The sequence below is a fragment of the Homo sapiens genome, chromosome 6 (assembly GCF_000001405.40).
Source record: "Homo sapiens chromosome 6, GRCh38.p14 Primary Assembly".
NCBI lineage: Eukaryota > Metazoa > Chordata > Mammalia > Primates > Hominidae > Homo > Homo sapiens.
Genome location: NC_000006.12, coordinates 11,736,089 through 11,752,483, shown reverse-complemented (window position 1 = coordinate 11,752,483; position 16,395 = coordinate 11,736,089). Strand labels below are relative to the sequence as shown.

General features: G+C 43.4%; 1 protein-coding gene across 7 annotated transcripts in view; it reads left to right on the top strand.

Annotated features, from left to right (window-relative positions):
• Positions 1–16,395, top strand: part of ADTRP (androgen dependent TFPI regulating protein) — a 65,281-nt gene that overhangs the window by 26,320 nt on the left and 22,566 nt on the right. The gene's annotated exons all lie outside the window — the stretch shown is intronic.

Genomic DNA, 16,395 nt, shown 5'->3' with positions numbered 1-16,395 from the left:
CTTCCTCCTTGGAATCCCTGGATGGGCTTCTGTTTTCCCAAGTGAACCCTGTTGATCCATGACCTTAAAATTCATGGATCAACAGCTTGCTTCTGAATCATGCCAATGATCTTTAATGTGAGGAGAAAGTTATTCATTCAAAGGAAAAAAGTCCTGAGTGATTTCGTTTCTGGCCATATAGCGAAACCGTAACATGAAAAAAAAATATTTCATAAGACACCCAAAACATTGAATAAAAATATTTCTTAAAAATCTTTTTAAAATGCTTGGCTTACCAACAAGAAAGTAATGGAAATTCCCAAAACTAAAATAAAGCAGAATAAAAGGTACCAAGAAGAGTGAGGTAAAGGCAATATTTGAAGGGATAAACATTGATTATTTCCCAGAATGTATGCAAAAGTAATCCTCGGATTCAAGAAGTGCAAAATAAATTCCATACAGGACTAAGGCTGGACTGAAACCACTCTCATCTACCTACTGTGTGACACGACAGAAACCTTAGACAGAAAAGAAGACCCAAAAATTAACCAGATTAATAGGATGGATTTCCTAAAAAGAAACCATGGCTAGATCGATAGCTGATTTCTTCATAGCAATAGCAAAGCCAGGGATGGAATAATAGCTCCAAAGTGTTGAAGGAAAAAACTGTCAACGTATTTACTCACTGAAAGTGTCTTTTACAATAGAGGCAAAATAAAGACATTTTCGGACACACTAGAGCAGATTTCCCCACCCACAAGTCTTCTCTGAAGGAGATGCTAAAGGGAATACTCTAGAAAGAAGAAATAGGATCTCAGAACGGAGGTTTGGATACTAAAAGCAATGGAAAAGAATTTGTCCAACATGTAGTGATTAAAAATACAAAAAATCCCCCAAAATGAGCTAAAATGCTGAGCAAAAATAGAGTGTAAACCGAGAGGGGGTGATTGGAATAGAGGTATTCTAAGGTCCTGTTGGAGTGTTGGGGGGTGAGGGGCTACAGATAGTGACCTATGTCAGCCATGACCAGGTTAAATAAGCACATTATAATTTCTAAAATAACCACTCTCATAATACACATGGAGGGTATGACCTCCATGTCAGTAGAAGAGGAAATACTGACTAGAAAAAAATATTAATGGGAATTTGAATCCATGGTAAGACACTATCCTGACATATAGGAATACATTGGAAGTGGTATGGGGTAGATTAGATTCATGTGGGAGACAACATAGTGAAAAGGCCTTTTGTGCAAGCTTATGTTCCTTCCCTGCTGGAAGCATCTCTACTTTTCTTAAAGGCACAGATTTCTACACTATGCAACTAATCACTAATTCCAGTTAATAATGTAGTCAGAGCCAGGAGCAGTGGTTCACGCCTGTAATCCCAACACTGGGAGGCTGAGCCGGGTGGATTGCTTGAGCCCAGAAGTTCGAGACCAGCCTGGGCAACATGGCGAAGCCCATCTCTACAAAAAATACAAAAATTAGCCAGGTGTGGTGATGCATGCCTGTAGTCTCAGCTACTTGAGAGCTTGAGGCAGGAGAATCGTTTGAGCCTGGGAGGCGGAGGTTGTAAAGAGCCAAGATTGTGCCGTTGCAATCCGGCCTGGGCGATTCAGCAAGGTTCTTATCTCAAAGTAAATAAATAAATAGATTAAATAACATAGATTGGGGAGGATCATGTGCAGGAGGTCAGAGTACATTTCAGAGGAAAATGCAAAGTTTCTAAAATACTCATTTTAAAGGGATAGGCATCAGCAAAGAAAGAGAACTAGTGATTAAAGAATTCATTTTGTTCATCCTTTTATTAGGGACAGGCTGCTATGTAATAATGCTAAATTGTGATTATAGATGAATTTGCTGGAGTGTTGTCCTTTCTGATCCTCTCCTGGAGGAGAGGCCCGTAGGGTTTCTGGCAATTAAGAAAAGGCTCTTGATCATAACGTGATTGCTTGAGGTGTTCAAATTGCCTGCCTTTCAGGCTAGGCAATGTAACAATTAAGGATGAGTTTGTATTTGTTTCCTGGTGCATGCTGTTTATTTAGTTTGCATATTATTAAAGTCTCAGGATTGGGTTTTAATGCACCCAGGATTGCCTGATTTACTTGGCTGTTAGTATCAGCATGGAAGTTATGCACACAAGCCTACAGAACTACCTGGGCCTCCTCAGGAGGGGAGAGGTGAAATCCAAGTCCTATTTGTTAATTGGGATTTTCCGCCATTCAGGGATTTAACCAGAAACCAAACTCTCAGGTCTGTCCCAGGCCTGCACTGGCTGCCTAATGTCCCAGGGTATAAATTCTTCCAACACAGTGGCTGTTTTTTAATTTTTCCCCAATTTCCCAACCTCTTTTATTCTTGTGAATCATATTGGGGCCTTTTGTCCCTTTGGCCTTACTGGAAGCAGAATGGCACCTGCTGCTTGAGCAATTTTCTGAGTCCTGTTCTCTGGCCTCCAGTCTTTGGAACTGACCGCTCTACAAGATGAAAGTAAAGATGTGGAAAGACAACCCTTCTTCCTACCACCCGAAGCAGAGGCAAACCTCAAGTCATAGCTTCATTTTCCTGAGCCCTGCACTGTTTCTTACAAAGATTTACAGAGGTGGGAGAAGGGTTGGCTAATTGGGAGTTCCTTTGGGGCAGATGTTGTCACTCAAGCACACAAGTGTGCTTCTTGGAATGGAACATAACCCGAGTGTTGCCCTCAGACCTGTACTTAGGATCTATTCTTATTCTGATCATTCATCATATTCTAGTCACCAATTATCTCCATGTTACCAAATTCTGGGCACCTGTTTTTGCCCCCATCTTCCTCACCTCTCAGCAGCACTGGGCACCTCTCTCTCCTTGAAACTCTGCTTCCTTAACCCTTTGATGCCACACTCCCTTGTTCTTCTCCTACCTCGGTTTCCGCTTGGATCCCCCACTTGCCCTCTAAAGGGTGATGTTCTTCCAGGCTTCCCATGGGACCTCTGCTTTGCTAATGCCCTTTCCCCAGTAACTGGCATCCATTCATTCCCATGGCTTTTGTTCTTTCCATGTGCTGAGTGTCTAGCTCAGATCTCCCTTGAGTTCCAGATTTGCATAGCTAGCTGCTACCTGACCTTGCTACTGTATATATCAGTAGGTATCTCTGAATCAACATGTACAGAGCTGAATATATTCTATTCTCACTGAATATATTGTATTATATTATAATATCTCACTGAATACATTATATTCTCATCTGTTCTGAGCATCTCCATCTCAGGAAATGGAACCATCATCCTCCCAATTGCCCAAGACAGAAACCAGCATTGACCCTGCCACCTCCCTCCACTCTATCCATTCCATTAGCTACTCTCATCCATTCTACCTCCAGAATAGGTAGCAAATCTGTTCACTTTCTAGTTCCACTGCCAACACCCTCGTGGCCACATTTATTTCTCACCTAAATACAACATCTCCAAACTGGTCCTCCAGCTTTCATTTTCAGGCCTCTACAGACCATGGCAAAATCGATTGCAAAATGTTATTTCCCTTTTTAGTACTCAGCAGTGGCTTCCCGCTTCACTTGGAATAAACCTGAACTCCTTCCTATGGCCAACAAAACCTGGTAAACCTGGGCCCTGCTTAATGCTGCAGACACAGATTGAGCTTCTCTCCCCCTGGCACTCCATGTTCCAGCCATTCCAGGCTTTACTGTGCCCTGCAGCTCTTGAAGTTCATTCTCCTACAGGACCTTCGTGCGTACTGCACCCTTGCCCAAGATGCTCCCCATCTGCTCTCCCATGGCTCAGCTGTAGCTTTTAGAACACATCTTGGACGTGGTCTTCTCAGAATGGCTTTTCCTGACTGCCTTCCATGAAGTACGTGCCTCCACTTGTGTTCTGGTACCTAGATTCCTGTTTGTTTTCCTTCATAGCACATATTGTGATTGGTATCTGTTTCCCTACTTGCTCACAGGAAATCTTGCCCATTGACTGTAAGGTCTGCAAGGCCAGGGACCACATCTGTCCACCTTCTGATCCTTAGCACCTCACACAATGCCTGGTATGTGGTAGGCACTTAATGATTATGGCATGAGAGAATGAATGAAGACTTCATCTCTTACTTCAGTAGTTTCTCTATGACCTTGACTGACCCCAGAGTTCTTCTTCCTTTGGGGTGGAGTGAGGTGTGCTGGGGCCAAGAAGCATTAGAGGCAGAGGGAAAGCCTTTAGCAACCCAAGTGTCAGCGTCTGTAGCTGACACTGTATATTTGGACACTTTGGAGTGTTCTTTTATACAGAAAGTTATAAATGAGGACACTGCTAGGAAGCTTACCAGTGCCTTGAAATATCTATAGGGCTTTTGGTTGTTATATCTGAGACACGTGGTCTAATCATGACTGACTTACGTTCAAAGAGATGCATAGAGTCATAATTACATATATTTTGCTTGAGGCGAATCAATGTCTGTTCTGATTGGTGCGGTAGCTAAAAGCATATACTCTCTGGCAGAAAGTTTTCTAGGCTGATACTTTCCTCTGTACATCCACCGTGGTCAGATGTTAATTAGGTAACTGTGTATTCATGTCTCCAAAGAATTAGTGAATCAAAGAAAAAAGGAGGCAGAGTCTGCAATTAAGCAGAGGAATAAGGACATGATCATGGCAGTAACCAGATGAAAGAGAGGCCATCAGGGGAAGAGGAGAAACAGTTGAAAAAAGAAACAGCCCCTTTCTGTCTCTGTGAAAGCCTGTGATAGGTCAGTTTCCCTCCTCATCACTATTGCTGGGCTGCTGCTGGCCCTGGGAGACATACCTGATGCTATCCAACCAGGGGTTCCTGTTGATGGGCAAAGAAGCTAGGAATGAGGTTCATTTGTTGTGCATATGAAAAGTAAATCCATGCCTGTGGAATTCCACAAATAGAAACAGAACAAGTGTTTTCATGGCTGCTATGGAATTTGGAGTTTTAACAGTCCAATAGCAATCAAGTTTCTTCTTATGTTGAGGGCAGAATAAAAAGAGAAGCCTCATAAAAACAGAGGAGATTTCAGCGTTTCTCTTCCTTTTATTAGAAACTAATTTACCCATGAAAATTCAGCTTGAAAGCTAAAGTGCCCTACACAAACAAACAAAACAAACCCTTGTGCTTTTTGTGTCTTCTGAATTTGGAAACCAAAAAGTGCACAATCATTTCAGAGGGGTATTCTGGAGAGCTCGCCTGGTACAAATTGGTTATGAATAAAAGCATGTGTGTGTCTTCAGCATCTCCCTCTGAACACAACTAGGAACTCCTAAAAGCCACATTGTATTATTCTGTGGTGAGAAGGAATTTTGTGACCTTTGGAGAAATTTTGTTTCAGTTTTTCCTGAGAAGACCATGATAAGGAAGTGAGCCACATTTCTTGGCCATGGGAATTTGTCTCAATGCCCCAGGCTTGCGTTCTCAGGAGTGTGGTGGGTTCTAAGCAAGTGGGCTTCTTGCCAACTGGTCCTGCGTTGCAGGTGCCCAAATTTTACACTTACAAACTTGTTAAGATTCCCAGCCAACCTCGGGGTTGTGGAACTGACGGCAGTGGCCTCTGGGGAGCATCTCTATGCTGACCTTCCCTCAGTGTTCAGGCTCCTGGCTCCACATCCAAGAATCCGCTGAGCAGGAGGTTGAGCCCTAAAGGTCCCAGACACTCAACAAGAAATGGAGGACTTAGCCTGGAAGGAAGGACAGGCTCATTGGAAACACAAGGGGCAAGCGCCTGGCCTGCATGCTTACCAACAGCCTTCTTGTCTGGAAACCTAGTAGATTTGGTGCTCATGCCTGAATACCACTCCACAACATTGGACACATCTCTCCTAAATAGTTCTTTCCCTCTTTTCCTTACCTCTGGACTTTCTGACCACTCTTGTCAATCAGCCTTGCAAAATGCTTTTGTTTTGCCTATTTCTTAAATCAAGGATTCTCAACCAGGATGGATTGTGCCCTGCAGGGGACATTTGGCAATGTCTAGAGACAGCTTTAATTGTCACAACTTTGGGGAGTGGGGAAGGCTTGCTACTAGGTAGAAGCCAAGGATGCTGCTTAACATCCTACAATGTGCAGGCCAGCCTACCCCCCACCACAAAGACTTATGGATTCTAAAACGTCAACAGTGCAGAGGTTTAGAAACCCTGACTCAACTGGTGTGTCTCCACAGCGCTTTCTCCTATATGCTTTATTCTTCCTCCAACTCATATACTCTTTGGGTTATCTCATCTATTACCACTTAACCCAGTGATGTCCATACTCTGATGGCTCCCAAACCTCTGTCTCCAGCTGGATTTCTCCTCTGAGTGTCAAACTCATAAATTTACTATGCTACTGGACATCTTTAGCTTGATAGCCTATAGATGGCCTTCTGCTTTTGTTTTGTTTTGCTCTTGGATTCTTAGCAAGAAAAAAAAAGTTCATGGACGGGCGGGGTGGCTCATGCCTAAATCCCAGCACTTTCGGAGGCCAAGGCAGGCAGATCACTTGAGGTCAGGAGTTCGAGACCAGCCTGGCCAACATGGTGAAACCCCATCTCTACTAAAAATACAAGAATTAGCCAGGTGCAATGGCACACGCCTGTAATCCCAGCTACTTGGGAGGCTGAGGCAGGAGAATCGCTTGAACCCAGGCAGCAGAGGTTGCAGTGAGCCGAGATCATGTCACTGCGCTCCAGCCTGGGTGACAGAGCAAGACTCTGTCTCAAAAAAAACAAAAAAGAAAAAAAATGTTCATAATTGAAAAAGTAACCTCTCACATGTAGTTATATGTTTTTAATAATAGGGAATTAAAATTAACTTTTATTTTGAAATAACAAAACACAATTTAGTGGCACATTCTGAGATCGTTAGATACAGCTTGGGAATGTCACAAAAGCTGTTGAAGGGAAATCCTTGAGTCTTTTAGGATAGGAAGATTTTTGCCATAACTCATTCTTTGATTTAAACAAGGACTTGTGGTCTTTCAGTGTGAACTCCAAAGGCTTGATGTGGTGCTGCCTACTGTCGTCTAACACTTTCAGAGCCTCCTCTACATAATGCTTTAGGACTCACCTAGTCCTAGATTGACACTGTAGGGTTACAATAGATGTAAGTTGAAATTTATTAATATTTTTTGAGTTCAAAGACCATATCTTATATACCTTTCAGTTACCTAGAATGCTGAAGCAGAACTGCTTCTCGAGAGATATTTGATGGGTATTGAATGAAGGCATTTCCTAGGAAAACAACTTCTTGTCTTTTACTTTTAGGCCCTACTCTTAGCCATTCCCTTCTCCACTGGCAAGAGGTACACACACACATACACACACACCCACAGAGAGAGAGAGAGAGAGAGAGAGAGATTGACTAACCCTAAATCAACTGATTATGTGCATTTAGAAAAATCACCAATGAGTAGATGCCATTCTCACAAAACAGCCTGCACATCCCTTTAGAAAACCCTCATAGGTCAGCAAGGGAGAGAAGGCCAGAGGCAGGAAGGAGAAAGTGTGGAAACATCTGTCATGGGATCAGTCATGCGGAAGGTTTGGAACTGTGCCCCTGAGTTTGTGCTTACAGGGTGCTTTCCAGAACCACTATTATCTCCCAGGGAAACCAGCTGCTTACACACTCTGAGCCCTTACTTGACATCGTGATGAGATATTGGAAACGAAGGGATAGTGCCCTGAGACACAGTTTCCCAAAAGTGAGAGTAGATCCCATGCTTCCTAAACTTCCTCTTTCTTTAAAAGAACAATCTCCTTCCTCCAACTTGGAGCAGCTTTCCAGAGAGCTGCCCATCTGTTTCTGTCTTTAAAACAAGTCTCCATGTGCACCATGTGAAGCCAGGCAAAGAAGCATGGAGGAGGGTGAATTACAGATTGATGAAGAGGAGGGGCATGGAGGAGATACCAAGCAAAACCTGGGGGCCCTTCCACCTGGCCCCATCTCAGAATGTAGAGCCACAGACCAGTGAGTCTCAAGATCAACAAAGGACAGTCTCTGCTGGCTCTGTATCTTCTGACTTCCTGTAGGGCTGCCAGCTCCTGCTCAGTGGTGCCTTTTCATTGAGTCTACCATTTAGTGACTATAGAGTGGGCACCCATTGATTGTTTCCAAGAGTCATACTTGTTCACAGGCTTTCCTGTAGCCCCCATGTTAGTCCATTTTGCATTGCTGTAAAGAAATACTTGAGACTGGATAATTTACAAAGAAAAGAGGTTTATTTGGCTGACGGTTCTGCAGGCTGTACAGGAAGCATGCTGCTAACATCTGCCTGGCTTCTGGTGAGGACCTCAGGAACTTTTCCTCATGGCAGAAAGCAAGGGAGATGTCATGTCACATGGAAAGAGAAGAAGAGAGGCAAGAGAGAGGGGAGGAGGTGCCAGGTTCTTTTTAAGAACCAGATCTCATGGGAACTAAGGGTGAGAACTCACTCATTACTCAAACACACCAAGCTGTTCATAGGGGATCCACCCCCATGGCCCAAGCACCTCCCACTGGGCCCCATCTTTAACAATGGAGATCAAATTTCAACATGAGATTTGGAGGGGACAAATATCCAAGTGTATTGACTCCCAACACCAATTTCCAAGCTTTGGCGTGCCATTTACAGCTGTGAGAAATCCTTAAGGTCACCAGCTGGAAGTGGGGTTGATTCTGCAACCCTGCCATCCTGGACGCAGCCTGCTATGTGGGTGCTGGTATCCAGTGAAGCAAGTCTGGGTTGGCTTCCCAGGCTGTGCAGAAGACCTCTCTTCCTCTTCTGCCCCACTTTGTTTCATTGATTCGTTCATTAATGTCACTGATGTTAAGTGGCCAGAATAGATTAAACAATGTGGTAGGCACTAGAGAGAAAATGGTGACCCTAAGCCTTGAGTTGTTTCCATCTCTGGAAGACTTTGGTCAGTATTAGGCGAACGTACGAGTGTTATGTCATGATGGGAATGAGCACAGGAGCCTTCAGTTCTGCCAAGAAAGGGCACCTGCTGGAGTTTCAGGATTCAGCTAAGGGCCACTGAGCCCTGTAAGGTGATGTGAAGGCCAAGGGGGCTGAGGGAGGGAGGGACAGGTGAGTGCTGTATCCACAGTGAGAGAGGAAACCAGGTCTTCAGGTGGGAGAGCAGAGTAATTAGAGGGTGGGCACAGGAAGAAAGATAGATCCCTGGGACCTCTGCAGACCACATTAAAGACTCGATCCTACAGTGGACAAGTGCACAAGAAAAAGAGTCAAAATGTGTGTTAAGGAGAGGCTGGAGAGGAGTCCTGAAAAAATAAATGAGAGCTTTGCCCTCAAAGAGTTTATCATCTCTTTAAGAAAAGGAAGGGGAAAAAAACACATGAAATTGACAGTGTGAAAAACCAAATGGAATACTGTTAAGCACTGAAGCATTGAGTGCAGACCAAAGGGGCTGCAGAACAGACAGAAGAGTGAGCATCCCATGAGAAGGCAGGACGGGCCACAGCCTTGCAAATACAGAAGGGCTGGGGATGGTTTCCTTGGTGAGGCTTCTTATTTGCAATAAAAGGGTTCAACATTAGCATTGACTCTTTTAATTTCTCCAAGTATTTAGATAACTGTGTTATCAACAGTGGTAATGCCTGCACTTGAGGCTTTAAACAAAGAATAAAATCCTGGCTGGTGTCCGATTCACAATTGGAACAAAAACAAACAAAACACCCATGGGGAAAATGGTACTTCTGGAGTTCCTGTACTGCTCAGATCACATAAGGCTACAAAATTATAAAATATTACCTCCTCACTGGCAGCATCTCCTTCACTTGATTGAGCTTCGTTATTTTGCCTTCAGATATTATCAGTTTATGGAAACTAGACCTCTGAACTGTTTGTTATGGGGACACTGTTGAGGTCACTATGAGGCTTAGTCTCGCTAAAATGAAAATGCAGTGGTAGTAATTTCTTTCAGGCCTAATGCCTAGGGGGAAAACTTTAATTTCTCTGAAAAACAAAAACTAGGAAGTGTGTACATTTCATCTCTCTCTTTTTACTTTATCTGTCTGGGAACATATTGCTAAACTTGAATCTCAACAATAGAAGCCCAGTAAGCCTTCTGGTTGGTGTATTTGTGTTTCAGTGTTCTTCTGAGTTCTAATTTTCATTTCTATCTTCTCATGTTAATAAATGGGCTTTTTTAGTAAGGTGTCTCAAAGATGTATGGGGCTAATTGGGAGAGAAAAAATTAAAGAGTTAAAAAAATGAAAAAAGGGAAGAATACTAGAGAAGAAAAATGGGTTGAAACAAAAGGATAATAAGGAGACTGAGTAGAAGGGAGGGAGCCTGCTGAGATGCTCTGAGATGAGGGAAGGTGTATAGATAGTGGACAGAGGCAATAGAGAGCCACAGAAGGTTTTTATGCTGGGGAGTAGCAACATTAAAACTTTTTTTTTAGGTTTGCCCGATTGCAACGTACCAGACTATGCACCTGATTATATGTACCAAAATAGGGAAAAGCTAAGTGATTGTAGGTACCAAAATAGGGAAAAGCTAAGTGATTGTAGGTACCAAAATAGGGAAAAGCTAAGGAAGTGATGCCTGGGAAGATAAAAGAATAAGCAGCTATGGGAAGCATTTTGGTAGAAAAGTGAATGAAGTTTGAGTGTGAGGAGTAAAGGAGTGAGTCAGCACTGACAGCAGGTGTGTAGGGTGTTATTATTGCCAGAGAGAGCTCAATAGGAAGAAGGGATTTGGATACTTTAGAGGGGTGGAGAGAGAGGGGAAGGGGGCAGGAAGAGGTGGATATATTCCTGATTCCTGATTGTAGGGTCCTAAGATCCCATATCTTTTTTTTTTAAAAAAAATCTTATCCTTAACTGGATAGAATCCAAATTGTCGCTTCTTCACCAGGCTGGATTCCTTCAAAGCCAACTAGTTTTGTAATAGAATGATGCTTTGAGATATTGGTCAAAAGACATATTAACCCAAAGGACAGCAGTGTAGTAAGTAAAAGATCCCTGAAAAATTCTCTTCAGAAGATTCATAAAGTTGTCATTTAACCACCTGTTCAAGTCACATAAGAGTTCATAAACAACACTATGCTTTTCTTCCTTGGCCCAGTGGGGCATTCATTTCTCTTTCCAGATCAGTAAAGACTATTCATGTTTCCCCCAATGTCTTATTATGACAAATTTCAAACATAAAGCAAGGTTGAAAGAATTTTACAGTGAACAGCTGGGTCACCTACCACGTAGATTCCACTGTTAATAGTTTACTGTTTTTGCTTTCTCACAAATCTCTCCACCTGTGCATCCATTTATTCATCTTGTTTTTGGTGCATTTCAGAGTAAATTGCAAACATGACTACTCCTTGCCATATAACTTGCGTTTGCAGGCTGGGGAACCTGTGATAGCCCACCTAGGTTGACAGTGGAGATCAAAGAGAAGTCAGTGGCTCTTTCTGTGGGTGGTTTCGCTCCCCAATCCCTTCCTCCCCACGAATTTTAATGTTGACTCTTTAATGACAGTAGTGTCTAGCCTGTGCACTTGAGTTCCTAGAAAGTAGAAAAGGGAATTTTTACAAACCCAATTCTCTTTAAAAACTTCAGTCTTTGAGACTGAAAAGACTCCTACAGGTAGCATAGTTGGAAGTTGTTGTTTTTTAAGTCCCATAGAGACATAAGCTCTATAGCCTACGTGCACATTTCCAGATTTCCAGATATCAGATTTACTTAAAGCAAAACTGTATCTTTAATGATGTAAGAAACATAGAGAATACAGATGGTCTCTGCTTTCAGATACAAAATATTCCTAAAAATGTCACCGACCATCACCATTGTCTCTACCTGTAGGGAGTTAGAGGCAGAAATTGTAGCACAGGAAGTTAGTGAGGAAGGAGGTAAAAGTTTTTAGCTGGCAAATGGATGGTATTATCAAAACCAGAGATTGCCTTACTGGAATTTACAAAACAACTATTACTGCATGCCTTTATCGCATGCAATTTTCAAGCTTAAGAAATGTGACCCAGCAGCGTAATAATAAGCCTGGATATGATGGCATTCGATTAAGGTTTGTTTTGCCTCCATTTCTATGTCTATTGTATTTACATTTATGTTTTAATTGATATTTTGGTCATGTGTTTTCCCCAAAGAGATTTTGTGAAGGCTTCCATTTTCTAAAATTAAAAAAATGATATATTTGATATATTGTAAACAAAAGAAATCCTCCTTAATGTACTCAGAAATGAGATCTTGTTAGTGCACTAAAACTTCACTTAAAAATATTTATCCGTAAGTACCATAAGCAAACCAAAGGTATTATTGCAGAGACTTGGAGGAAAGGACCTCAGTTTGGGAAGAGCCAATATCAGGAACTAATTCGCAGATCGGAATGTGGCCTGAATAGAGGAGAGGGAGAGAGTATTAAGGCAAATATGCAGCAGGTGATATAGAAACAACATCTGAAGGAGAAAGCCTCTTGATGACCCATCTGAGAGGGTCAAAGTCAGTGTATTTATCTTGGTCAACTCAAACTCAACACAAGAGATAGTCCAGAAGGGAAATGAAATAGAGGAAAGAAGCAGAGATTATATATTTTTTATGTTATCATCTGATTTTGCAATATGTAGGCTCTCTGAATTTTTTTTCACTGGAGAAAATTAAGTGCTCTTGTCCCCGCAGGAAACTTAGGATAAGAGTGTGATCAGCCTAGCCTTAAAGATTCAGTTTCTGGAGCTTCCATGACAGTGATAAAGACCTGTCGGATCCATGTGTTACCTCAATGATTAAGGCTTGCTTCTTTCTCAAGGGTCAGGCAAACTTCATCCTACTGTAAGTTTAGCCTCATATGCAGGGAAATTGTTTAATGGAGCCACTTATCTACCTGTAGGGGGTGAGTACAAACAAGTGCTCAAATCATTATCACTATTTTCCATGTTGTCACTCATGCAACCCTGTACAAATTTTCCATGGGCTGGTAAATCTTAGTACTTATCATCTGCAAGGCTATTTTGTAAGCAGAGAATCTACTGTGATTATTACACTAATACTTAAATCAATACTTCATGCTTGTAGTTCTCACTCCAAGATATTTAGGTGAAAGTTGGCATTTTATGGAGGATGGTGGGGGGAAGGTATAATTGAGTAGAAAAGGATGGGAGAAGAACATCTCTTTATAACCGTTGCATTTGGAAAGAGACATTTAAAGGAAAATCTACCAAAATGGTGACTTTAAGGACAAGGAAAGATAGCTCCACTAGATCCCCTCTGTTTACGCATGCTATTGTTTCAGCCCATGATGTTTTGTTTACTTTGGAAGGAAATATTTTACCCCCTCTGAGATAATTAATTTTTGTCAGCTTCACTGTTTGTAAGGGAAACTGAGAAACTGTTAATTGAAATACAGAGTGAGTCAGTGTTTCCAGTAATTTTTGGCAGCATTCTAATTTGTGTCAATCGCAGCCTAATTATTAGATTTTTTGGAAGCAAAAACATATTTTATTTTTCTCTTACTGAATTTGTTCTTCCTTTTTTTTTTTGAAATATGTGCTGTCTGACAAAGGTCATATGATTTATGTCAAAGTGAGGTGAAATACCCATACGCTTGAAACACCAGAAGGCTTATTGCATCATGTTTAGCTCTTCACTGCCGCTCAATATTTAGAAGGCTCTTTTCCTACTTCCTACCCCAGCCCCGACCGGAAAATGTGATTCTTGCAAAGACCTTTTAGCTAGGATGAAGTCGAGGTATATGGCCCATCACTAATGACATCACTGAAGTAAATTTCCCAGAAGCCATCAGGGAGAATTCATTTGGAAATCCAATTGAATGTCACTTGCAAAGGGCAGGCTCCTGAAAGAGGTGACCAGTCATGCATTCCTGAGTTGTTTGTTATAAAAGCATTAAGCACTGCGAACTCATTTACTCCTAACGCGAACACACTACATTATTCCACAGGAATTCTGTTCCAAATGATCGTTAATGTAGAGGACGGGAGCTGCTGATTGTGGGCAGGGTTAATAAAATTCATCAGATCAATGGCCAGTATAATGGGCTTGTTAATGGTTTTTAATAGAGGTTGGATCTTCCTGGCTTCAGCAGAGTGAAGGCTGGGAGAGAGGGGCAGGTGGCTGTGCCAGGAGACAGCTCCATCTCCTGCCTGCTGAGGTGGCCTCTGGATGAAGAGAGCATCCCTGTTGGTCACTGAGCATCAGCAGGGCTCCAAGGTGGCCTTGACTGGGAACGCAGGCACCAGCTGTGGGCTGGGGAGGGAGCCCCAGGGACAACCATACTCCAGCAGCTGGCATGCCACAGCCTCTTGCAGACCACAGGCCAGGGTTCATCTAAGCACCTGAAGCCATGGATATCCCAGGCCCTTGCTTGCACCCCACCCTGGGCCCACCGATGAGATGAAAGACAACAGTCACACTGATAATAGTGACAACCCCAGCAAATGCTCACTGAAGCTCTCCAGGGCCAAAGACTAAGCATATTACACGCACTCACGTCAATCCCCATAGCAGCATCACTAGAGGTATGTACTATTTATTGTCCCCATTTTATAACTGGGGAAGCTGAAGTTCAGAGAGATTTGGTCACTAGCCCAGGGTTAGATTAGAAACTGTGTGCCTTTAGATGCCATGCTCTTTTATTAGACGGAGAGACACAGAAGCTGCAGCCTAAAATCAGACTGAAGAAATATGCAAGGTGCGACGGGGGCCTGGGAGTCTTTCCATTTGTTTCTCCAACCAGTCAGTATGTTCAGGACCAACCTTGAGCAAATTATGTAAAAGCTGTAGCTTGTCTGCAATGCTGTTCCTCTAGGCATCGTTAGTAAAATTCAGGGTGCCCAGGGCCCTTGAGATGCCCAGGTGCTCTGGGCCACCCCACTGTGGCCTTAACTGGGGCACCCTGAGAGGTCCTCTTCACCCAGTGCTGCCCTGTACTTACAGCTTGGTCCTTCTCACCCTGCTCCTGCCTCACCAAAACTTGACCCATTTCTGGTCATCTGTGGGTCATTATGATATCCGACTGCCGTAGCCAGATCAGCTCGGATGGGAGGAAGCTACTGCTTCCTGGGGATGCCTCCTGAGCACAAGTCTTTTGTGAATGACAGCAAAGACTGCCCAGAGCCAGCACCCAGAGTTCCAGCTGCACTGCTGGGCATGGGAACGCAATGACATTCCCGAGCTCCAGAGACTGCCCTAACTGAGGGGCCAACACCGCTGCCCTGGGGCTCAGGAACAAGATGGGGCGGGAGCTTGCAGGTGGAGACTGTGGGTGAAAGAGGCAGCCACGAGCTGAGGAAATTGGCAAGCAGGAGTGAAGGAGGAATGATAGCTGGAACTACAAAAAACGCAAAATACTAGCACTACTAGATGTTTCCAGTAAGCTCAGAGGGTGGCAGAAGGACTTCATAAATGTTATCAATAAATGAAAACACATGGCACACATACTCCAGTGACCTTTCCCAGGTCAGCTTCTATAACCCAAGATGGGAGCAGGCTGCAGCAGTCTTTGCATCTGAAAACGCCATCATTCCTAAAGTTATTTCCTTGATTATGTCATTTTAAAAACTCTACTGTTAAGGGTTTGGAGGATGTAAGAAAACAGATGGTTATAAGGAGGGGGTGATGCAGGGAAGGAGGGGGAGGACATAGGGGTTTCAGAGGGAGGCTCACGCATACCCCACACACTTACCACCCTCAGCAGGACTGAGCTCAGTTACACCATGCTAAATGCAACAAGAAACGCAGAACTGGGTGGAACGTGTTCTCCGGCCCCCCAGAGCGTACGAATATACACCATAAGTGCTAGACTACATGGCACAGGATATAAATGCAGTCGAGTTGACTGAGAGAAATTAGCAAGAGGAAAATTCAGAGACAGCATCATGGAAGATTGCACTGGCTGCAAAGAACATAGAGGATTTGAATCCCAGGGAGAGAAGGCACAGTCCACACAGGGAGAGGAAGCAGGGACAGGAGGCTGGAAGTGCGAGCGAGCATGCTGAGCACAACGGAGGGTGAAGGAGACAGCCTCGGTCTAACAGGGGGGTTGTGTGTGTGTATGTGTGCACAAATGTATGAATGTGTGTGAGAGTGCAAGAGTATGGATGTGTGCATGTGCATGTGTGTGCACAAATGTGTGTGAGAATATGCCGAAGTGTATATGTGTTAGTGTGCGTGTTTGTGCACAAATGTGTGAATATCTGTGAGAGTATGCATGAACATGTGTGTGTGAGTGCATGGATGTGCATGACTATATATGCTTGAGTGCGAGTGTGCATGTTTGTGCATGAATGTGTGAATGTTTATGAGAGTATGCATGAGTGTGTGTGCGTGTGTGTGTGTGTGTGTTTTAGGAGAGGGCCAGGCACGGTGACTTACGCCAAGCCGCCAAGCCAGCACTTTGGGAGGCCAAGGCGGGCAGATCACTTGAGGTCAGGAATTAGCCGGGCTTGGTAGCACATGCCTGTAATCCCAGCTACT